General features: G+C 44.4%; 1 protein-coding gene across 1 annotated transcript in view, besides 7 other annotated features; it reads left to right on the plus strand.

The window, feature by feature from the left end:
- Positions 1-23,975, plus strand: part of NFE2L3 (NFE2 like bZIP transcription factor 3) — a 34,940-nt gene that overhangs the window by 2,018 nt on the left and 8,947 nt on the right. The window contains exon 2 of the mRNA NM_004289.7: positions 23,728-23,907. Within this exon, the coding sequence (NP_004280.5) occupies positions 23,728-23,907 (180 nt within the window). The remainder of the gene's footprint in view (positions 1-23,727; positions 23,908-23,975) is intronic.
- Positions 2,902-2,981: an enhancer, noted in NCBI's record as "active region_25780". NCBI's record gives its function as "activates an Ori minimal core promoter by ATAC-STARR-seq in GM12878 lymphoblastoid cells {active_cell/tissue: GM12878}" and the evidence as "EXISTENCE:reporter gene assay evidence [ECO:0000049][PMID:35858748]".
- Positions 3,182-3,231: an enhancer, noted in NCBI's record as "active region_25781". NCBI's record gives its function as "activates an Ori minimal core promoter by ATAC-STARR-seq in GM12878 lymphoblastoid cells {active_cell/tissue: GM12878}" and the evidence as "EXISTENCE:reporter gene assay evidence [ECO:0000049][PMID:35858748]".
- Positions 4,141-4,641: an enhancer, noted in NCBI's record as "H3K4me1 hESC enhancer chr7:26197976-26198476 (GRCh37/hg19 assembly coordinates)". NCBI's record gives its function as "activates a minimal SCP1, AML or CMV promoter by ChIP-STARR-seq in primed H9 embryonic stem cells {active_cell/tissue: H9 hESC(primed)}" and the evidence as "EXISTENCE:reporter gene assay evidence [ECO:0000049][PMID:30033119]".
- Positions 4,642-5,142: an enhancer, noted in NCBI's record as "H3K4me1 hESC enhancer chr7:26198477-26198977 (GRCh37/hg19 assembly coordinates)". NCBI's record gives its function as "activates a minimal SCP1, AML or CMV promoter by ChIP-STARR-seq in primed H9 embryonic stem cells {active_cell/tissue: H9 hESC(primed)}" and the evidence as "EXISTENCE:reporter gene assay evidence [ECO:0000049][PMID:30033119]".
- Positions 5,194-5,488: a silencer, noted in NCBI's record as "tiled region #12991; HepG2 Repressive DNase unmatched - State 8:EnhW". NCBI's record gives its function as "represses a minimal TATA promoter and a strong SV40 promoter by Sharpr-MPRA in HepG2 cells {active_cell/tissue: HepG2}" and the evidence as "EXISTENCE:reporter gene assay evidence [ECO:0000049][PMID:27701403]".
- Positions 12,583-12,632: an enhancer, noted in NCBI's record as "active region_25782". NCBI's record gives its function as "activates an Ori minimal core promoter by ATAC-STARR-seq in GM12878 lymphoblastoid cells {active_cell/tissue: GM12878}" and the evidence as "EXISTENCE:reporter gene assay evidence [ECO:0000049][PMID:35858748]".
- Positions 13,313-13,382: an enhancer, noted in NCBI's record as "active region_25783". NCBI's record gives its function as "activates an Ori minimal core promoter by ATAC-STARR-seq in GM12878 lymphoblastoid cells {active_cell/tissue: GM12878}" and the evidence as "EXISTENCE:reporter gene assay evidence [ECO:0000049][PMID:35858748]".

The following is a 23,975-nucleotide window of genomic DNA, read 5'->3' on the forward strand; positions in this document are numbered from 1 at the left end:
CTTGGAGGGATCCTTCTGTGTTCAGGATATACTGTGGGAGGTTCTTCCCCACTCACTCATCCAATCTGGACCCCATGGGGTCTGTCTCACCTAAATGCTCTGCCCTCTAATAAGTGAGTACTTGTGCACTACCACCATTCCTGGTTCTGTAACACAGAGTTGAAACCTAGTGCTGGATGCTGTACCAGATGGCACTCTGCCACCCACACCCGAATGCCAACCTGTGTGCAAAGTGCACAGGGACCTGGAGGGAGAAGAGAGGAAGCTGTTCAGTCCTCGGAAACTTCCCTCCCGGCATCACCTGGGAGACAAAGTGGCCTTCCCTTGGCTGTTTTTTTGTTTGTTTTGTTTTAAAGACAGGGTCTTGCTCTGTTGCCCAGGCTGGAGTGCAAAGGTGCAATGACGACTCACTGCAGCCTCAACCTCCCCGGCTCCAGCAATCCTTCCACTTCAGTCTCCCAGGTAGCTAGGAGAACTGGCGTGCACCACCATACTGGCTGATTTTTTGTAGAGACAGGTCTCGCTATGTTGCCTAGGCTGGTCTCGAACTCCTTGGCTCAAGTACCCATCCCATCTCAGCCTCCCAAAGTGCTGGGTTTACAGGCATGAGCCACCATGGGTGGCCTAGACTGGCAGGCCTGCCTTGGAGGCATTTTTTGAGCCTAGGCCAGCCAAACCACTGTGGAGGCTCTGAATCCAGCTTTCCTAGGGGAGAGAGTGAAGTTCCCCGAGAACCATTCTCCTGGCAGTGCCTTCCTGGCTGGGCTGGCATGTGTGCACCATGTTCACTGCTGGGATGACCTGGTTACATTCAATCTGGCAAAAATCAGCTGTCCAGCTCCTTACAGTTGTCACGGCCAGTTCACTTTTGTTGCCTTTTACATCAACCTTGTGTGGTGCACTGGCCAGGCACCCTTATATACAATTTGTACTTAAGAAAAATAGGGCTGAGTGCGGTGGCTCACACCTGTTATCCCAGCACTTTGGGAGGCTGAGGCAGGCAGATCACTTGAGGTCAGGAGTTCGAGACCAGACTGGGCAACATGGTGAACCCCATCTTTACTAAAAATACAAAAATTACTTGGGCGTGATTACACATGCCCGTAGTCCCAGCTACTCGGGAGGCTGAGGCACGAGAATCACTTGAATCTGGGCGGCGGAGGTTGCAGTGAGCCGAGATTGTGCCACTGAACTCCAGCCTGGGTGACAGAGTGAGACTCTGTCTCAAAAAGAAAAAAAATGAAGAAGAAGAAGAAAACTAGAAGCCTAGGTTAGGGATTTGGCTAAAGCCACATGTCAGTGCCAAAAGAGAGACCAGAGCCTGAGTCTCTTGACTCTCAGACTGGCACATTAATTAAGTACCTACACGGTACTCAAGCTCTTGGGACATCTAGGACGTCTCAGTGCATCTGGGATGGGGTGACTCAGCCTTCCACTGCCCAGGCTAATCACTCTCCAGTGCTAGATTGTGCCATTCATAATGAAGAGGTTGCAATTTGGAACCATGACTTTGGGGAGAAAATGGGCTGGAAAAACAACACTGGTCTTTGCGGTCAGCTAGACCTGGGTTTGGGAGTATCACCTGCTAGTATGCCCTCCCATAAGCTGCTTGAATCACTCCAAGCTTCAGTGTCTCATGTCAAGTGGGAGAGGAATGTGTACTCCAGGGGGAGGTGTGCTGATTAAGTGGGAAAAGCCCATGGGAAGAGCAGCATGGTGCCTGGATTGTAGCTGCGCTCTTCTGCCCTCCGTCCTTAACCCACCCTCCTTCACCTGTCCCCACTCACTGGATTCCTTTTGGCTTGTCTGCATATCTAGTTTGGTTGGTTATTGAAGAAGTGGGGTATGCTAGACCCAGACTGCCTGGTTTTGAATCCCAGCTCTACCACGTCTGTGACCTTGGACAAGTTGCTTATCCTTTCTGTGCTTCATTCTGTGTGCATTCCCATGCACAATGGGAATCAGAAGGGGCTTACCTCAGAGGGTTGATGTGAGAATTAAAAAGTTCATTCCATGTAAAGGGCTTAGAACTTGCCTGTCACTTAAGTGCTTAGTTAGTAAATGTTAGCTACTGTTAACTTCAAAGAGACGAAGTGCTTTGTCCCATAGGAACATAATTTTTAATTTTAAAAAATAGATAATTCCGGTGGCTTACATTTGAGTTGCAGGAGTTTTATAGTATAATTTTCCATAATTTATGTACATATGCAAAAATATTTTGGAGTAGGGGATTTTCCAAGTATCAAAAGGAGTACTGTTTTGGTTTCACTTCTTACTGGGGCTTATCATGATCTGAAAACTGACTCTGGAATTCCCCAGGGCTGACACGCTTCCCTTCATAACCACAGTCATTCACAACGGATGAAGCATGCATTCTTCCAAGTAACACACAGGTTAAACAAAGAAATGAACAGTTTTTGTAGAATTGAATGTGTAAACGTATGGAACAGCTGCCTACAGCCAGCTTCAGTATTTCAGAGAGCTGTTGCCACTTTGAAACTGAGAGGGCTTGTAGTCATTTTGATGTGGTTTCCTATCCTGGTACAGAGACCCTCTGCTGGGTGAGGGGTCTGGTAAGACCTCTTGATTAACTGCCTGAAGAAACTGTTGGGCTGGGCCGGGTGTGGTGGCTCACACCTGTAATCCCAACACTTTGGGAGGCCGAGGCAGGAGGATTACGAGATCAAGACATCGAGACCATCCTAGCCAACACGGTGAAACCCCGTCTCTACTAAAAATACTAAAAATTAGCCGGGCACGGTGGCACGTGCCTGTAGTCCCAGCTACTCGGGAGCCTGAGGCAAGAGACTCGCTTGAACCTGGGAGGCGGAGGGTGCAGTGAGCCGAGATCGCTCTACTGCACTCCAGCCTGGGTGACAAAGCGAGACTCCATCTCAAAAGAAAAAAAAAGAAAAGAAACTGTTGGGCTGGTTTCTTCAGGGCACAGAGAGAATCTGATCCAGTCAATATTTAATTTTTTTTGGGACAGGGTCACTTTGCCTCCCAGGCTGGAGTATAGTAGTACCATCACAGCTCACTGCTACCTCAACCTCCTGGACTCAAACAATTCTCCCACCTCAGCCTCCCAAGTAGCTGGGACTACAGACGCGCACCACTGCTTCTGGCTGATTTTTTTTTTTTTTAATAGAAATAAGGTCTCTCTGTGTTGCCCAGGCTGGTCTCAAACTCCTGGGCTCAAGTACAGGCATGAGCTACTGCACCTGGCCTCAATATTTAATTCTAAGAGTAAAGGAAAGAGAAAGAAGGTCCTTGATTGTTAAAGTAAAAATTGTTTTTCATTTCAGAATAAAAAATAGTCCCTAACTCCTGGGCAATTGGACAAGAGATGAAATTTCAGACATTTGCCTGTTTTTAACTCACAGCTATGTTACGGAAATAGTCTTATAATTACATACATTGCGTTTATGACAAGCGTTCACAGTGGGATTTTCATTTTGTTTACTAAAGGAAGTTGTAAAGGTGCACTATTGTCTTTGTATGGGAAAGGATGTCATAAGTTACTGTATGAATTTGCTAGGGCTGCCATAACAAATACCACAGACTGGGTGGCTTAAACAGAAATTTATTCTCTAACAGTTCTGGAGGCAAGAAGTCCAAGATCAAGGTGTCAGCAGATTGGCCCTTCTGCGGGCTGTGAGGGAGAAAGTGTTCTACAGCTCTCTCCTGCCTTTTGGTGGTTTGCTGGCAATCTTTGGCATTCCTTGGTTTCTTCTCCATCACCTGAGCTCTGCCTTCATCTTCACATGGCATTCTCCCTATGTGCATGTCTGTATCCAAATTTCCCTTTTTTGTTGTTGGGGTTTTTTTGTTTTGTTTTGTTTTTTATTTTTGAGATGGAATCTTGCTCTGTCTCCCAGGCTGGAATTCAATGGCGCAATCTCGGCTCACTGCAACCTCTGCCTCCCAGGATCGAGCGATTCTCCTGCCTCAGCCTCCCAAGTAGCTGAGATTACAGGCGCCTGCCACCACGCCCAGCTAATTTTTTAATTTTTGTAGAGACGAGGGTTTTGCCATGTTACCCAGGCTGGCCAGATTTCCCTTTTTATAAGGACATCATTGGATAAGGGTCTACCTTCCTTCCTATCTTAACTTACCTAGTTACATCTGCAATGGACCCAGTTTCCAAAGTATGGGGGTTAGGAGTTCAACATGAATTTTGGGGACACAGTTCAATCTATAACAATCACCATCTTCCTTCCATCAATTCTTGGGGTGTTCAGCTTGCTTATGATTAAAAGCTAACTGAGCTGTTTCTGAAAGCAGCTGGTCTATATGGAGGATCATTTGCATAGGACTTGGTGTGTGCTCCTGAGAAAATCTGGGGTTTTGCTGGCTTGATGTGCAACCCTGAGGAAGCTTGGCTCAAACCATCTTTTTCCAGTCAGTATTTCCCCTCCATTAGTAGGTTACAGAGAAATCATCTTTGCCAAGTCTCTTGTATCATTCTCCTTCTTTCCATGACCCCTACTTCTCAACCCACACAGTGGGAAATGAGCATGCAGGGCCCAAGCCCTGACTTGAGGCAGGCTGGTCTAGGGGTCTTGTGTGCTGGCCCTGGAGTCAGACCAGCTGGGGAAGATCCCAGTGCCACACTGGCTGTGTGATCTGGGGCACACTTCTTAAGTGCTCTGAGCCTTGGTTCCCTTATCCGTAAAATGGAATAGTAAGAGCACCTTAGGGAAGTGGTGGTGAGGATTGAATGAGATAGTGCAAGTTGAGCAGGGTTGATACACTATTAATAATTCAGGTGGGGCTTGTACCGCTTCTTCCCCAATTTACTCCCGTCCATTGTGTTGTCAGGTGCAGGTTTCCAAAGCACACCTTGGTTCGTCTCTCTGCGTTTTGTGGGATGCCTCCTCTAGCTCGCCATTGCCTACTTATTCAGTATTTTGTCATTCAGGGCTGCCCTTGTGGCTTATGTGACCCAGCCCCCAGCTGCTCTTGCTGGGCCTCTCCATGTAGCCTTCTTTCCAGGAGAAAACTTTCTTCATCCCTTTGCCCAACAACCCTATGATCTCCTGCCCTTTAGTCTGTTCTTACCTTTGCCCGGAATGCCTTCCTTTCATTCCTCTCAAGTCTTTTATGGTTAAATTCTCAAACTCAGCTCAACCATCACCTCATCCATAAAACATTTCCTGTTCTTCCCTTTGAGCCCTATTGCACTCTGTAACATTTCTTCTATAGGACTTGGCATCCTCTCCTTTGAACTGCAGTGGCTGGAATGTGGAGACTGGGTCTTGGCTTTCACCTGAAATAGCACCCAGGGACAGGGTTAGGAGCAGAGGTCAGTTCAGCCAGTGTCTGTCTGTTGAGCACTTATCATTCATGACATTGTGTTTGCAGAACTTCAAAGATACCATGGGTGTGAAGGTGTCTTGGGTCCTTCAAGGCCCGAGTCTCAACTAGAAAGTAGGTCAGATCTGAAATCCTGATGGGCCATCTGACTATTTAATGCCAACTGTCTGAGTGGATGAGGGCAGTGGAAAGCAGACTTTCAGGCTAGCATTATAATTAATCAAGTGGTGAAACTTGGGATTGCCTAAAGTTATATAGCAAGTTAGTGACCTTGCTAGGAATAGAACAGGTCACTGTTCTTAAGCACTGAGTAAACCATACCTTCTGCTCACTATAAAACTTCAAAGGTAAAAACAAAAGTCTGTCTCGTTCATGGCAGCCTTGTGATAGGAAGAGTTTATTCTTAAAATCTTGTTGCTTTTTTTTTTTTTTTTTTTTGAGAGATAGGGTCTTGCTGTGTCACCCAGGCTGGAGTGCAGTGGTGCAGTCATATCTTACTGCAGCCTCAACCTTCTGGGCACAAGCCATCCTCCTGCCTTAGTCTCCCAAGTGGCTGGGATCACAAGCATGCACCACTGCACCTGGCTAATTTTTTAAAAATTTGTTTGCAGAGACAAGGTCTTGCCATGCTGCTTAGGCTGCTCTCAAACTCCTGGGCTCAAGCTATCCTCCTGCCTCTCCTCCTAAAGTGCTGGGATTACAGGTGTGAGCCACCGCACCCGGCTGGATCTATGTTAATATTCAAATACAATTCCAGGCAGCTGAAGCCTGCCTAGGCTGAGGTACATCCCTGAGTTGTTTTTGGTGGAGTTGCAGGTGGTGGTTGGCAGAATGTGGGCAAGTCACAGAGGCAAGACGTGATCTTTTGAAATTGGGGAGAACTGGGTTCCTGTCTTTATCTGTCAGAGTTCTCCAGAAAAACAGAATGAGTAGAATATGAATAAATAAATACACATATACACACAGATTTATTTCAAGGAATTGGATGATATAATTGGGAAGGCTGGCAAATTCAAACTCTCTAGGGCACCCAGAAACTCTGGAAGCTCCGCAGGAGCTGCAATGCTACAGGCTTCAGGGAGAATTTCTTCTTTATCAAGGAAACCTCAGTTTTGCTCTTAAAGCTCTCCAATTAATTGGATGAGACCCACCCAGATTATTGAAGATAATCTCCTTTACTTAAAGTCAGCTGGTTGATTGTAGATGCTAACCACATGTACAGAATACCTTCAGAGCAACACACAGGTTAGCACTTAATAGAATGACTTAAGAACAATAGCCTAGCTCCTTGACATTTAAAACTGACCATCACGCCATCCAGCTCCACCTCTTCCTGGGAAACCATGATTTCCAAATTGGTAAATGGAGAAAATTAACATCTTTCTTGAAGAGTTCTTGTGAGGATTAAATGACACTGTATGTTTAAGGGCTGGTACAGTTCCTGGCATAGTAATAGATCGTCAACAGATGATTCGCTTTTATTGCTTCTGAGCTCCAGGTCAAACCTCCAGGACACCCCTTGTCTTCTAGAGGAAATTACCAAAGACTGGAATCCACTTTAGCATGAAAGGAACCCTTCCCTCCCCAAGGGGGAGGTCATACTGGAAATGGTTGAATGAATTGGGGCAGTTCCATGTTGAGAAGATCAGACTGAGGAAGGATCATGATCACCAACTTCAAATATTTGAAGAGCTGTTATGTGAAAGAGGCCTTGGACTTGTTGAGGAGGCAGAACTCTAAATGCCAACTGAAGTTCTGCTAAAGCTCAACCGCAGGAAGAACTTAATTTCTTAGCTTCTCTCTCTTTTTTTTTTTTTTTTTTTTTTTTTTTTTGGGTCTTACCTTTCTTTAGAGTTTCTCCAAGGGTCTAAGGGAAATCCAGTGACAAAATGAGAGCCTCCTGGGGCACTAGTTAAAATGCAGATTGCCAGGCCCACCCATCTACCACCAGGCTGAATGAATACCTCTGGAGTTTTCCAGACCCCCAGGTGGTTCTTGTGCCATCCCAAGCTTAAGGTCCTCTGCCTTGACGCTCCTCCCCCAGGGCTCCTCAGTGTCCGGCAATACCTGAATGGAAGGAGTGTCTGGCTGAAAGCCCTTCTATGAATTTAAGGCTCAGAGCAGTTAAAAAACTGGGCCAAAGTGACTTACCAGGTACTTAAAAGTCAAAGCCCAATTTCCCTAGCTCCTTTTATTATTTTCTAATATATTCTAAAGAACATCTCTCTGGATGGGGGTGGAGGTAGGTTGGGGAATGGGGATCTAGCATGCAAAAACAATGAATGCAGAATTAGCTTGCACATAAGTGCAGTTTAAAATTCATGCTTAATGCCAGGCGCAGTGGCTCTTGCCTGTAATCCCAGCACTTTGGGAGGCCAAGACAGGAAGATCACTTGAGGTCAGGAGTTTGAGACCAGCCTGGCCAACATGGCAAAACCCCGTCTCTACTAAAAATACAAAAATTAGCTGGGCATGTTGGCACACACATGTAATCCCAGCTACTTGGGAGGCTGAGGCACGAGAATCGCTTGAACCCGGGAGGTGGAGGTTGCAGTGAGCTGAGATCACGCCACTGCACTCCAGCCTGGGTGACAGAGCTGGACTCCATCTCAAAAAAAAAAAAAAAAATTCATTCTTCAGTTCTAGAACAGGCAAAGCTGAGCTAAAAATATTAGCGAGGAGAACTTTCTGAAAAGTTCTATATCGTGGTTGGGGTGTCAGTTTACATGGGTGCCTCCATTTGTCAAAGTGTGCACCTAAGGTTTCTGCATTTCTGCGTGTATAAATCCTGCCTAAAAACTATTAAAGAAGAATTGAGTGGGGAGGGGTGAAGGTATTGATGATAAGAGTGCTGATCATTGTTGAAACTGGGTAATAGTTACATGGAAAGTGCACTGTATAATCATACAGTGATTCTGTATTCTGTTTACGTATGTTTGAAATTTTCCATAATAAGGAAAAATACAAAAAACATCATGTATTTTGAGGACCAGTTGGCCTATTCTGCCTGCTGGGATAATTTAACACTAAATAAATGAATCATAAATGATACTCTTTACTGCCGCCCCCATGGAACATGGGCCTCTTATGTCCTAGCTTCACCTACCTAGTGGATATCTGCCAAGTTTTTCAGCTGTTTCTCTGCCTTCTCCAGGGGACTTTAGAAGTAAGTTTAGACTATTTCTTTTTTTTTTTTTCTGAGACAGGGTCTAACTCTGTTGCCCAGGCTGGAGTGCAGTGGCATAATCAGGGCTCACTGCAGCCTTGACCTCCCAGGCTCAGGTGATCCTCCCACCTCAGCCTACTGAGTACCTGGGATTACAGGTGCGCACCACCACGCCTGGCTGATTTCTGGTATTTTTGTAGTGATGGGTTTCACCATGTTGCCCAGGGTGGTCTCAAACTCCTGGGCTCAAATGATCCACCTGCCTTGGCCTCCCAAAGTGCTGGGATTATAGGTCCATATCACATTTTATTATGGAAAATATCAAGCATTTATTACTAGTGGAGAAAATGGAGGTGGATAATGCCCCCCTCCCCATCATGTAGCTTCAACAGTTACCAATTCATGGCCGGTCATGTTTCATCTTTAACTCTTGCCCTCTCTGTCCGCCCCTCTATTCTTTTGAAACAAATCCCAGACATTTCTTAGCAAGGAGAAGAGAAAAACCAAGCATTGTTCCTTTCTTACTCTTCCACTACTTCCATTAACTCAAAACCGTCTGTAAATATTTTAGTATATATCCCCAAATCATAAGGACTCTTCTAAACATAACCACAATGCCGTTAGCACACCTAAAAGAAATTCCCAAGGATTCTTTTTTGTTTTTTTGAAACGGAGATTTGCTCTTGTTGCCCAGGCTGGGGTGCAATGGCGCGATCTCAGCTCACTGCAACCTCCACCTCCCGGGTTCAAGCAATTCTCCTGCCTCAGCCTCCCAAGTAGCTAAGATTACAAGCGTGCGCTGCCAAGCCCAGCTAATTTTTGTATTTTTAGTAGAGACGGGATTTCACCACGTTGACCAGGCTGGTCTTGAACTCCTGACCTCAGGTGATCCGCCCACCTCAGCCTCCCAAAGTGCTGGGATTACAGGCGTGAGCTACCACACGTGGCCAGGATTCTTTATTTATTTATTTTATTATACTTTAAGTTTTAGGGTACATGTGCACAACTTGCAGGTTTGTTACATATGTATACATGTGCCATGTTGGTGTGCTGTACCCATTAACTCGTCATTTACATTAGGTATATCTCCTAATGCTATCCCTCCCTCCTCCCCCGACCCCACAACAGGCCCCAGTGTGTGATGTTCCCCTTCCTGTGTCCATGTGTTCTCATTGTTCAACTCCCACTTATGAGTAAGAACATGCAGTGTGTGGTTTTCTGTTCTTGTGCTAGTTTGCTGAGAATGATGGTTTGCAGCTTCATCCATGTCCCTGCAAAGGACACAAACTCATCCTTTTTTATGGCTGCATAGTATTCCATGTTGTATATTTGCCACATTTTCTTAATCCAGTCTATCATTGTTGGACATTTGGGTTGGTTCCAAGTCTTTGCTATTGTGAATAGTGCCACAATAAACATATGTGTGCATGTGTCTTTATAGCAGCATGATGTATAATCCTTTGGGTATATACCCAGTAATGGGATGGCTAGGTCAAATGGCATTTCTAGTTCTAGATCCCTGAGGAATCGCCACACTGACTTCCACAATGGTTGAACTAGTTTACAGTCCCATCAACAGTGTAAAAGTGTTCCTATTTCTCCACATCCTCTCCAGCACCTGTTGTTTCCTGACTTTTTAATGATCGCCATTCTAACTGGTGTGAGATGGTATCTCATTGTGGTTTTGATCTGTATTTCTCTGATGGCCAGTGATATTGAGCATTTTTTCATGTGTCTTTTGGCTGCATAAATGTCTTCTTTTAAGAAGTGTCTGTTCATATCCTTTGCCCGCTTGTTGATGGGGTTGTTTGTTTTTTTCTTGTAAATTTGTTTGAGTTCTTTGTAGATTCTGGATATTAGCCCTTTGTCAGATGAGTAGATTGCAAAAATTTTCCCCCATTCTGTAGGTTGCCTGTTCACTCTGATGGTAGTTTCTTTTGCTGTGCAGAAGCTCTTTAGTTCAATTAGATCCCATTTGTCAATTCTGGCTTTTGAGCCATTGCTTTTGGTGTTTTAGACATGAAGTCCTTGCCCATGCTATATGTCCTGAATGGCATTGCCTAGGTTTTCTTCTAGGGTTTTTATGGTTTTAGGTCTAACATTTAAGTCTTTAATCCATCTTGAATTAATTTTTGTATAAGGTGTAAGGAAAGGATACAATTTCAGCTTTCTACATATGGCTAGCCAGTTTTCCCAGCACCATTTATTAAATAGGGAATCCTTTCCCCATTTCTTGTTTTTGTCAAAGATCAGATAGTTGTAGATATGTGGCATTATTTCTGAGGGCTCTGTTCTGTTCCATTGGTCTATATCTCTGTTTTGGTACCAGTACCATGCTGTTTTGGTTACTGTAGCCTTGTAGTATAGTTTGAAGTCAGGTAGCGTGATGCCTCCAGCTTTGTTCCTTTGGCTTAGGATTGACTTGGTAATGCGGGCTCTTTTTTGGTTCCATATGAACTTTAAAGTAGTTTTTTCCAATTCTGTGAAGACAGTCATTGGTAGCTTGATGGGGATGGCATTGAATCTATACATTACCTTGGGCAGTATGGCCATTTTCACGATATTGATTCTTCCTACCCATGAGCATGGAATGTTCTTCCATTTGTTTGTGTCCTCTTTTATTTCGTTGAGCAGTGGTTTGTAGTTCTCCTTGAAGAGGTCCTTCACATCCCTTGTAAGTTGGATTCCTATGTATTTTATTCTCTTTGAAGCAATTGTGAATGGGAGTTCACTCATGATTTGGCTCTGTTTGTCTGTTATTGGTATATAAGAATGCTTGTGATTTTTGCACATTGATTTTGTATCCCGAGGCTTTGCTCAAGTTGCTTATCAGCTTAAGGAGATCTTGGGCTGAGACGATGGGATTTTCTAGATATACAATCATGTCATCTGCAAACAGGGACAATTTGACTTCCTCTTTTCCTAATTGAATACCCTTTATTTCCTTCTCCTGCCTGATTGCCCTGGCCAGAACTTCCAACACTATGTTGAATAGGAGTGGTGAGAGAGGGCATCCCTGTCTTGTGCCAGTTTTCAAAGGGAATGCTTCCAGTTTTTGCCCATTCAGTATGATATTGGCTGTGGGTTTGTCATAGATAGCTTTTATTAGTTTGAGATACGTCCCATCAATACCTAATTTATTGAGAGTTTTTAGCATGAAGGGTTGTTGAATTTTGTCAAAGCTGGCCAGGATTCTTTAATAATCATCACATATCTAGTCACTGTTCAAATTTCCTGTTATCTCATGAATAATTTTTCATAGTTGGTTTGTTTGAATCACAATCCGACAAGATCCATACCTTGCATTGTATCCAGCTGTTTTTGCATGATAAAGTAGTATTCAAGCAGACAGGTGCTTTACTGGATTTGTATGCAGTCAGCTTCTGCCAGCACTGCTGTTGTAATCTGTGTGATGCAGTGTGAAGCGAGCGGGTGGGGCGGGGGGGAAAGAATTCACCCTGGATGGCTCAATGGAAGAGACTTAAATGAATGACTTCTTACAGCCATGTGGTCAGGGGCAGACAGGGACGTTGGAGTGCCCAGAGGCTCCCGGTGAGAAGGGATGGAAGGAATTGCTGGAGCCCAAGATGAGGGGCTGTCATCGTGGATCATGGAGGAAATGCTCTGACCTCCCCCTTGGCTATACCTGTGTTCTGCTCTAGCCTTCCCCTGGTGAACCCAGCTGGAAGCCAGCCAGCACAGGAGCCCTAGAGTTTCTCAGGGACACACATGGACCTGGAGGGGCAAAGAAGAACCAGTACTGTGGCCAAGAGCTGGCTGTGAAATAAAAATGCCTGCCGCCAAATCCTGGTTCTGTCATTTACTAGCTGTGTGACTTAAGGCAAGCTGTTTAACCTCTCTGTGTCTCAGTTTCCTCCTCTGTAATAACAATACCTACCTTACAGGGATGCCGAGCAGCTTCAATGAGATAATGTACATAGGGCCTGGCCTACAGCCAGTGCTCAATCAACACAAGCTGGAATTATTACAAACCACTATTAAAAACCACCCAGGCCAAACAGGACACAGTCTCTCTTTATCTGGCTCCATGTTTCTCTCTAGCCCTGATGACTCTAGCTTGCCTTCAGCCTAGAGACAGGCCTCAGAGTGCTTTGGCCTTACCATTCTCCCTCTGACGTCATCCTTCTCATAGGCACCACACTGTTCTTTGTCTTTGAAGGTTCTTCCAACCCTAGAGGTAAAAGCAGGTCTCCATCCCTCCTCCTCCAGATGAATAAATGAAAGGCCTAGCTAAAGCAGTCGAGGCTGTTCACAAAGGGTATTTTCAGGGGCAAACCCTCTACCACATGACTCAGATCCCAGTACAGCATAAGCGGCACACTTGCCAGTTGACAGGGGCTTCAGAGACTTTGCAAGGAGAAAAGAAAAGGCCAGCTTTGCTCCTTTCTTCCCCTTTCCACTACATTACTGATTCAGAAAACCTTTGCGCAAGACTCTTCTGCTCTGCTTCTTACCCGGGTGGCAAAGGTGAATGGCTGGAGGGCAGGTATCATGTTTACAGCCAGTAGGAAAGAAAAGACCCATATAATTTGTGATTTTAGATAGAACAGGATAAGTGCCATAAGAGAAAACCTAGAAGACATGGGATTTTAGAGACAGGAGCACCCAGTTTTGGTTAAAGGGCCCAAACTGAGAACATTCTGGATCCTCACAGAGCACAGATGGGTCAGTTACCAGCCAGAGGGATGTGGTAGGGCAGGCCTTTCCAGCAGGTGCCAGTTCTGTACAAGTCAGTAGGTGTTTAGTTGTGACTAAGGGCCCCAGCTCACAAGTTTACGATAGCTTCCTGTGTGGCAGGTGTGAAAATGTACTTTTTTTTTTTAATTGTCCCAGCCCCACAAGGGTAAAAGTCACCTGCTCACAAATAAAAAGTAACTTAATGATGGGTTTAACTTGTCTATTCTTTAAATAAAGAGCATGAACTATAAACCTCAAGACTACGCAACAGAACTAGTAAAACATACTCTGTATCTCAGCTCCATGTCATTGAGTTGAGAAGAAAAACAGAAAAAGAAAGCAGAGATAATAATTACTGGCTACTAGGGCTAGCTGGTTTTGCTTTCTCTTGAAATCCGGATTGAGTTATTGGCAGTTAATCATTAATTGCAAATCTTCAGAATCAAAAAGCAGTAGCAAGGAGTAATTCATGTTTATATAGCAGCTTACACATATGAAGGGGCTATTTTTAAAATGAATATCTGATTTTTTAATTTTTTAATTATTTTTAATTTTTTATTTCCAAACAGGTGGTGTGTGGTTACATGAGTGAGTTCTTTAGTGGCGATTTGTGAGATTTTGGTGCACTCATCACCCAAGTAGTATACACTGAACCCAATTTGTAGTCTTTTATCCCTCACCCCCCTCTCTCCCTTCCTGCCTCCCCCCAAGTCCTTGAAATCCATTGTGTCATTCTTGTCTTTTTTTTTCTTTTTTTTTGAGACAGAGTCATACTCTGTCACCCAGACTGGAGTGCAATGGTGTGATCTCGGCTCACTGCAACCTCCACCTCCTGGGTTCAAGTGATTTTCCTGCCTCAGCCTCCCAAGTAGCTGGGACTACAGGCACACGCCACCACACCTGGCTAATTTTTGTATTTTAAGTAGAGACAGGGTTTCACCATGTTGCCCAGACTGGTCTCAAACTCCTGACCTCAGGTGATCCACCTGCCTCGCCTCCCAAAATGGTGAGATTATAGGCGTGAGCCACTGTAGTCTCCATTTCCATCCAGGTTGCTGTGAATGCCATTAATTCGTTCTTTTTTATGGCTGAGTAGTATTCCATCATATATATATTATATGATTATATGCATATAATATATATATAATATAGAGATTATATATAATATATATAGAGAGAGATTATAGATATATTTCTATCTCACAATTTCTTTATCCACTCATTGATTGATGGGCATTTGTGCTGATACCACATTTTTGGAATTGCGAATTGTGCTGCTATAAACATGCGTATGCAAGTATCTTTTTTGTATAATGACTTCATTTCCTCTGGGTAGATACCCAGTAGTGGGATTGCTGGATCAAATGGTAGTTCTACTCTTAGTTCTTTAAGGAATCTCCGTACTGTTTTCCATAGTGGTTTACATTCCCACCAGCAGGGGAGAAGTGTTCCTGAAGGGGCCGTTTTCAACTAATTCCTTAAAATATGAATTAGATATTATCTTCTCATTTCACACATCGGGAAACTGAGGGTCAAAGAGGTTTAGCAACTGGCCCAATGTTACCCAGCTACTGGGTAGGATAGGTCTTTTTACTCAGCTGTTTTGAACTTGGGACCTCCTAGCCACTAGGCTGTTTTGGGCTTTGCAGACTGCACATTATATTACACTTGATTCTAGCCAAAAGGCCAAGAAGCAATTGCAAATTATATTACAAATTCCGTAGGCCTTTTTTACTTTGTAAATATTACAGTAGTAAATCCTCCACTCCTCCCTGCCTTGAGATTCTCCCTCTCTCTCCCTCAAGGTAGAATAATTGCTAACTGTTACAAGTTGGGTTCTCTGGGAAGCAGACTCTGAGACTGCCTTTAGTGTGAAGGAGGTTTATTAGGGGGAGCCATTGGGATCAATAACTGGAGACAGGCAGGATTAGACAGAAGCAGAAGTCGAACTGTGATGCAGGCTGGCAGAACCCAGCACCTGGGCTGACATGGATGCATCAGACTTGTCCCACATTGGGCCAAGATGGCCTTGTCTCTTTACCCTCGCCTGACAGGTCATGGGATGTGGGCACACTGGGATGGGTGTGACCTTAGGGGAGGCGACTCTTGGCTGCTGGAGGCTGGCTGCCCACAGGTATGTGGGAATAGCCACAAGTCCTCCTTTGAAGGGGACCTGGGCTGCACATCTCCCCATGCATCCCACTAGCCCTGGAGGAAATGCTTCCTCTCATTTATCACTTACAATGCTTGTTGTGTTTATTATATTTGCTTCACAATAGGCTCTCAAGAAAGAAAAGTTGAATGAATACAGGAAGGACCATCTAAGAAGATACTTATTCAATACCTAAGTCTGTGCAGGTTGAAGTATTTTTCTTCCCTCAGTCTGTGGAATTCAGTCTGCCATCCAGATTCTTGAGAGTGGCCGGGCGCGGTGGCTCACGCCTGTAATCCCGGCCCTTTGGGAGGCTGAGGTGGGAGGATTGCTTGAGCCCAGAAGTTCAAGACCAGCCTGGGCAACATGGCGAGACCCCGTCTCTACCAAAAAAAAAAATGCTTCTTAAGAGCTATGCAGTCTCTTCTTCCCCTTCTTAAGAGCTATGCAGTCTCTTCCCCTGTGGCCTCAGGTGGGTCACCATATGGGATAGTCCTGGTTTATGCTTGTTGCCCAGCCTAATGGTTAATAGTACCCTCTTACCCTCTCAAAAGTGGATGGGTTTGGTGATAAATTATACGGTCACTTATTCATAGACCTTTGGAGTGTCAGAGCTGGAAGGGGCCCTCTAAGGAAACCAGGTTTTCAAGACTGATGTGACATGGTCCCCAGGTCTTGGTGTCTTCCTCTCCCTACCCGGCTAAAGAAGAAATATCCACTGTAGCCACTACCTTCCTTCCCTTGGCTCTTTCAGTTGCTCATCTTTAAGAGCAGGCAGGCACTCTAACATTTCGAATCTGTCCCCACCTCAGTCCAGAGTTGTGCCCCTACTATCTTCATATTCACCCCCTCGTTTCCTATGTACGCTGATACCTGCAAGACTGTCCTGCTAATGAGCTGTGTTTCTCACCTTTTAATTAGCAAATATTAAGAAACAAACCCAAGGTAGGTGGGGTGTGAGGAAATGGGTTTGCTCACATACCAGATGGCAGTGTAGGTTGGAACAGCCTTTTTGGATGTCTGTTGGTATATCCCATGAAATAAGTTTAAAAAGTTGTCAGAACAGTTTCTTCAGAAAAACAAAAAACTCCTGGCACAGACAGAATTCAAGGGGATTTCTTTCAAATATTCCAAGTATCAGGAATTCCAATGTTAAATAAAGCTTCCCAATTCTTTTTTCAAAACCAGGATAACAGTGATACCAAGGCCTAAAAAAGCACATCAGAGAAGACCCTGACTCGCTCTTGGCCTGCATGACTCAGTCCTTTTGGAAGGCTGAGTGGAGAGGATCACTTGAGCCTAGAAGTTTTGAAACCAGCCTGGGCAAAACAGCAAGACCCTTATCTCTACAAAAAGTAAACATTAGCCAGGCATGGTGGCATGTTTCTGTAGTCCCAGCTACTGGGGAAGCTGAGAGGTGAGAGGATCACTTGAGCCCAAGAGTTTGAGGCTGCAGTAAGCCATGATCACCAGTTTTCATCTATCAGATTGGCACTTTTATCCATTGTTGGTAGGAATTATAATTGGCACAAACTTTTTTGAAGGGCTTTTCAGTAGAATCCATCAAATAAAAAACACACATATCCATTGACCCAGCATAAATTCCAGGAATGTATCCTACTTGCACACGTGTGCAAAGAAGTATGGATGAGGAGATTTTAATATCTGTTACAAGAAAAGATTAGAAACAACTATGCACCATTAAGAAGCCAGTTAGGCTGGGCGTGGTGGTTCATGCCTGTAATCCCAGTACTTTGGGAGGCTGGCAGGTGGATCACCTGAAGTCAGGAGTTCGAGACCAACTTGTTCAACATGGTGAAACCTCGTTTCTACTAAAAATACAAAAATTATCTGGGTGTGGTGGCAGGCACCTGTAATCCCAGCTACTCGGGAGGCTGAGGCAGGAGAATCGCTGGAACCCTGCAGGTGGAGGTTGCGGTGAGCTGAGATCGCGCCATTGCACTCCAGCCTGGGCAACAAGATCAAAACTCCTTCTGAAAAGAAAAAAAAAAAAAAGAAGCCAGTTAAATAAACTATGGTAAGAGGCAAATGAGTATACCATTCGGATATTATCTATGCCTTGAATTCCTTTGTCTCCTTTTTTCACATAGCTAGCTAGCTCTTTCACTTACCATAACTTGCAGTTATTTCATTAGTTCACTTGTATTTTTGGTTCCCTCTCTCTTTAGAATGTGAGATCTGGCCAGGAGTGATGACCCACACCTATAATCCCAGTGTTTTGGGAGGCCAAGGAGGAAGAATTGTTTGACTAGCCTGGGCAACATAGCAAGACCCCATCTCTACAAAAAAAACAAAAATAGAATGTAAGATGTGAAGGGGGCAGGGTCTGATTGTATTTTTTACTGTCGTATTCCCAGCACTAGTGTTGTATTTGATACTCAATTTAAAATGACTGACTGTATCTCAAATACAAGTCATCCTTATTGGTGAAGCATTCTCATTAAATTCATCAGCAAGAATATCAGGTATCACCATTATTATTTAGCATTATTTGGGAAGCATAGCTAAAGCAATTAGATAAGAAAATGAAATAAGAAATTTAAATGTTAGAAGAGTTGAAAATATTAAAGTTTATATGTCTATGCCCTTGGGGGCAAAACACAAATAAACAGAAAATTTAATGGGAGAAATTCTGGGCTAACCCTTTGCTGTTGCCTTAGCCAAAGTGATTTTGCTATGTAGGCATTTTTAGGTGAACCTTTTAGCTAAATATAATTTCAAACTTTTAAAAATGGCATATATATACCCTTTACCCAGATTTACCTATTTATGTCTTGCCTCATTTAGCTATATTAATAACGATGTCTCTCTGTATACATATGTGAATTGAAACCATTGCATCCCTCATCACCCAGATACTTATTAGTGTATATTTCCTAAGAACAGTGATTTTCTTTTCTATACCCAGTTATCAAATCAGGACATTTAATCTGAATGTAAGGCTACTATCTAATCTACAGTCCATTTTCAGAATCTGTCAGTATGTATTTGCCGAGTCTCTTTAGTCACCTGTAATGTGGAAACACTCCTCTCTCAGTGTTTCTTCACCTTTAGATTGTTGAAGGGCATCAATCAGTTAGTTTGTAAAAATGACCCCCAATGTTGATTTATCTGATGTTTCCTCAATGATTAGATTGAGATTATGAATTTTTGGTGAGAAAATCACAGAAATGGTATTGTGTCCTCCATATCAGGAGACCACGATGTTGGTTTAACTTCGTATTTTGATGATAGAGTTGACCATTTGATTTAGATGGTGTCTGCCAGATTTCTCCTGTAGTGTTATTATTTTTCTTTTTGTAATTAACAAGTAATCTGCAGAGTGATACTTTGAGACTCTTTAAGTATCTTATTTCTCATAAAATTTTCACTCCTTAAATTAAGCATCCATTGATGGTTTTCTAATTCATCATTCTCCTTTTATATTTATTATTTGTATTCTACTATAAGAAAGATTTCCTTTTTCCTTCATTTATTTGTTTATATTTGAGTGCACTCATTGATTCTTTTATTCAACTCATTTTATTCAATGAGTTATGATCCATTATTATATTATACCTAATTTTGGCTTCCTGTAGTGTGAATTTTGATCATACAGAATTTCTCTGCCTCCAGTCCTTCTCTTCCTGAGTTTTCAGACAAGACATCTTACATACCTTTGTTACCAATTCATTACACTCAAAAAGTTTCCCCCCACAAAAAAAGCCTTCCCAGACTAAAGTTTGCTTGATCAATTTCTCTATGGGCTTGATCTGTATCAACCACTTGTTTCCCTGTTATTATTTGTGTAATATAGGTGACATTCTTGTGTTTGCATGTTTGTGTGTGTCCATGTGTGTTGTATTAATGCACATATTACAGATTTAGGGGACTTTGCTTCATGGTTCTAAAATAGATCATTTGATTTCGAGATTAGAAGTTTCTCTCTCTACCACTAGCAAGTTTTTAAACAAAGTTAGCTGCCTCGGGTATCCAAAGTTTTTAATTTAATTATATTCAGATTTAACAACCACAAAAAACCTTACCTTGGCAAAAGATGAGAGGTAAAAAGTGATCAGTCACCTTTTCTTCCTTCCCCAGATTTATATAGGAATCAGTATTGTTGCAGGAAAGAACAATCTATCAGAAGTAAGATCTCTATCAAAGTCTTAGGATATTGTGTCTAAGAGTTCAGCTATTCAACAAATATGTAGCAAGGGTCTGTTATGTGCCAGAATCTGGGTTACGAAGTGGCCAACAGCAGGAACCAAGCAGACAGAGCCCTTGCCTTCAAAAAACTAGCATTCTAGTAGGACAAACAGCAAACAAATAAACATGGTAATATATCAGCTGGTGCTAAATGCTATGGAGAAAAAATAAAGCAAGATAAGGGAAAAAGATTTTGATGTAGTTTTTTATATAGAGAGATTAAGAAAGAAAACTGAGATGGTAAATATTTGAAGAGACCTGGGGTCAGGAGGATAAGAGGGTTGAGAGAGCTTACAGGCAGAAAGGGCTGCAAATACAAGGGCTGTGAAGTGGGAGAGTGCTTGGTGGACCTGAGAACTGAGCCTTGGGACATTGCTATGTTTGGATATCAAGGGGATGAAGAATCAGCAAAGCAGAAGTTCTTGATGAGGTAGGAGAATAGAGAGGTACTTGGATGCCAGGTGAAGAAGCTGTTTCCAGGAGGAGATGGTAACTAAGTCAAATTTTGCTGATGGGTGAAGAGAAAATACACTGAGTACAGATACTCTTTGGAGGTTTTTGCTGTCAAGGGGAGCAAAAAATGGGATGGAATCTGAAGACTAGTGTGGGACCAAGGGAGGGGTTTTTAAAGGTGGGGGTATTTGTGTATGATAGTAGGCTGATGCGAATTGTCCAGTAGATGAGAAAGAACTGTTGATGCAGAAGAGAGGGGAGAGTAGCAGGAGCAATATCTTGAGCACATGAGCAGGGTTGTAACGGAAATGTGCAAAGGGAGAGACTGATTGAGCTAGGACTAAACATCATCTACAGTGTCTAGAGGGAAGGCACAGTGTCAGAGTTAGGCACAATCAGACAGAGAAGCCAGTAAACCAAGTGGACCAGCAGAACATCAGCCTCCTTTTTTCTTATCTTGCCTTGATTTTTATCCTTTCTTCTGGCATCTGTAAATTGCCATTTCTTCAACCTTCACTTAAAAATGTTTTTCTGTGGTTTGGTGGGAAAAGGATGTGCCAGTGTGTCCTGTTCCTGGAAGAAACAGAAAGAGTGAAAAAGTTTGACAAGCTTTAATGTTATAGGGAAAAAATACATCCAGAGAGCTTTTAACATGATAGTTGAAACTATCTGAATATGCAGTACACTCTAAATGGTAACCATATTTGAATGTTTAGAAGAATTCTCTAGCCTTTTAATTATTTAGGTCTCCTTATTTATAAAGTAAATTAAGGTAGAAGGACTTATCTGGGTAAATAAGTATAGATCTGTGGAGATGTTTTACATTTATCATTTTCCTGATTATAAAAGGAATATGGCGGGGCGTGGTGGCTCATGCCTGTAATCCCAGCACTTTGGGAGGCTGAGGCGGACGGATCATGAGGTCAGGAGATTGAGACCATCCTGGCTAACATGGTGAAACCCCGTCTCTACTAAAAAATACCAAAAAAAAAAAAAAAAAAATAGCTGGGCGTGGTGGCAGGCACCTGTAGTCCCAGCTACTTGGGAGGCTGAGGCAGGAGAATGGTGTGAACCTGGGAGGCGGAGCCTGCCGTGAGCCGAGATCTCGCCACTGCGCTCCACCCTGGGCGACAGAGTGAGACTCAAAAAAATAAATAAATAAAGCAATATGTGTTTGTTGTAAAATATTCACAGTTATAGACACGTATAAAGTGAAGTAAACTCTTTCCCACCCTGTTGCCAACCTTCAGAGAGAACCAGAATTAATAGTTTATAATAATAGTTTCCGCCGGGTGCGGTGGCTCACGCCTGTAATCCCAGCACTTTGGGAGGCCGAGGCGGGCGGATCACGAGGTCAGGAGATCGAGACCATCCTGGCTAACATGGTGAAACCCTGTGTCTACTAAAAATACAACAAAAATTAGCCGGGTGTGGTGCCGGGCACCTGTAGTCCCAGTTACTGGGGAGGCTGAGGCAGGAGAATGGCGTGAACCCGGGAGGCCGAGCTTGTAGTGAGCCAAGATCGTGCCACTGCACTCCAGCCTGGGCGACAGAGCAAGACTCTGTCTCAAAAAAAAAAAAAAAATAGTTTCCATATTTGATCAGTGTTTGCTTCCAATTAGCTGTTTGATCAATTTTCTTTTCTTTTTTTTTTTTTTTTTTTAGTATTTATTGATCATTCTTGGGTGTTTCTTGGAGAGGGGGATGTGGCAGGGTCATAGGATAATAGTGGAGAGAAGGTCAGCAGATAAACACGTGAACAAAGGTCTCTGGTTTTCCTAGGCAGAGGTCCCTGTGGCCTTCCGCAGTGTTTGTGTCCCTGGGTACTTGAGATTAGGGAGTGGTGATGACTCTTAATGAGCATGCTGCCTTCAAGCATCTGTTTAACAAAGCACATCTTGCACCGCCCTTAATCCATTTAACCCTGAGTTGACACAGCACATGTTTCAGAGAGCAGGGGGTTGGGAGTAAGGTTATAGATTAACAGCATCCCAAGGCAGAAGAATTTTTCTTAGTACAGAACAAAATGGAGTCTCCTGTGTCTACTTCTTTCTACACAGACACAGTAACAATCTGATCTCTCGTTCTTTTCCCCACATTTCCCCCTTTTCTTTTTGACAAAACCGCCATCGTCATCATGGCCCATTCTCGATGGTCACTGTCTCTTCGGAGCTGTTGGGTACACCTGCAGAAAGGCTGTCACTTCACACTTGGAAGATTGCACAGCAGCCAGGCAGAGGCGCTCCTCACTTCCCAGACGGGGCGGCCGGGCAGAGGCGCTCCTCACATCCCAGACGATGGGCAGCCGGGCAGAGGCGCTCCTCACATCCCAGACGGGGTGGCCAGGCAGAGGCGCTCCTCACTTCCCAGACGGGGTGGCCAGGCAGAGGCGCTCCTCACATCCCAGACGATGGGCAGCCGGGCAGAGGCGCTCCTCACATCCCAGACGGGGTGGCCAGGCAGAGGCGCTCCTCACTTCCCAGACGGGGTGGCCAGGCAGAGGCGCTCCTCACATCCCAGACGATGGGCAGCCGGGCAGAGGCGCTCCTCACTTCCCAGACGGGGTGGCCAGGCAGAGGCGCTCCTCACTTCCCAGACGGGGTGGCCAGGCAGAGGCGCTCCTCACTTCCCAGACGATGGGTGGCCGGGCAGAGGCACTCCTCACCTCCCAGACGGGGCGGCCGGGCAGAGGCGCTCCTCACATCCCAGACGATGGGCGGCCAGGCAGAGATGCTCCTCACTTCCTAGACGGGGTGGCAGCCGGGCAGAGGCGCTCCTCACATCCCAGACGGGGTGGCCGGGCAGAGGCGCTCCTCACATCCCAGACGATGGGCGGCCAGGCAGAGATGCTCCTCACTTCCTAGACGGGGTGGCAGCCGGGCAGAGGCGCTCCTCACATCCCAGACGGGGTGGCCGGGCAGAGGCGCTCCTTACATCCCAGACGATGGGTGGCCAGGCAGAGACGCTCCTCACTTCCTAGACAGGGTGGCGGCTGGGCAGAAGCTGTAATTTTAGCACTTTGGGAGGCCAAGGCAGGCAGCTGGGAGGTGGAGGTTGTAGCGAGCCGAGATCATGCCACTGCACTCCAGCCTGGGCAACATTGAGCATTGAGTGAGCGAGACTCCCTCTGCAATCCCAGCACCTCGGGAGGCCGAGGCGGGCAGATCACTCGAGGTCAGGAGCTGGAGACCAGCCTGGCCAACACGGCGAAACCCCATCTCCACCAAAAATACAAAAACCAGTCAGGCATGGCGGCGCGTCCCTGCAATCCCAGGCACTGGGCGGGCCGAGGCAGGACAATCACGGGAGCCCGAGGCAGGGAGGTTGCAGCGAGCCAAGATCACGGCAGTAGAGTCCAGGCTCAGCAATGGAGGGAGACCGTCGAAAGGAGGGAAGGAGGGAGGAAGGGAGGAAGGAAGGAATCAATTTTCAACAGAAAACTAAAACTGCCTGCTGGCAACATTAATTTCCAAATCTAATCTAACTCATGAGTATTTTAAATTCAGGGGCTTTATAAGTGCATGTTAATTTAAATTGCACAGATTAGAACAGCCTGTCTCAGGACAGGATGTAAAACTGACCTTTGTTTCTGAATTAAATGTTTCTTTGATACTGAAATATTGAAATGCCGGTCTTAGCTTTTGACTTGTGGGTTTTCATGGTCCCTGAACAATAAGCACAATGCAGTTTTAAAGACTGTTTGCTTATTTGATGAAATTTCGTACTTTTATAGGAGAATGGGGTACTAAGAGAAAAGCACGAAGCTGTGGATCATAGTTCCCAGCATGAGGAAAATGAAGAAAGGGTGTCAGCCCAGAAGGAGAACTCACTTCAGCAGAATGATGATGATGAAAACAAAATAGCAGAGAAACCTGACTGGGAGGCAGAAAAGACCACTGAATCTAGAAATGAGGTAAGCCTGTCAGAATATTCAAGCCTTGCCGTTTTGGTTTTAATGTAGATTTTGTGGCATTGACAGTT

This window comes from Homo sapiens, chromosome 7 (genome assembly GCF_000001405.40).
Source record: "Homo sapiens chromosome 7, GRCh38.p14 Primary Assembly".
Classification (NCBI taxonomy): Eukaryota; Metazoa; Chordata; class Mammalia; order Primates; family Hominidae; genus Homo; species Homo sapiens.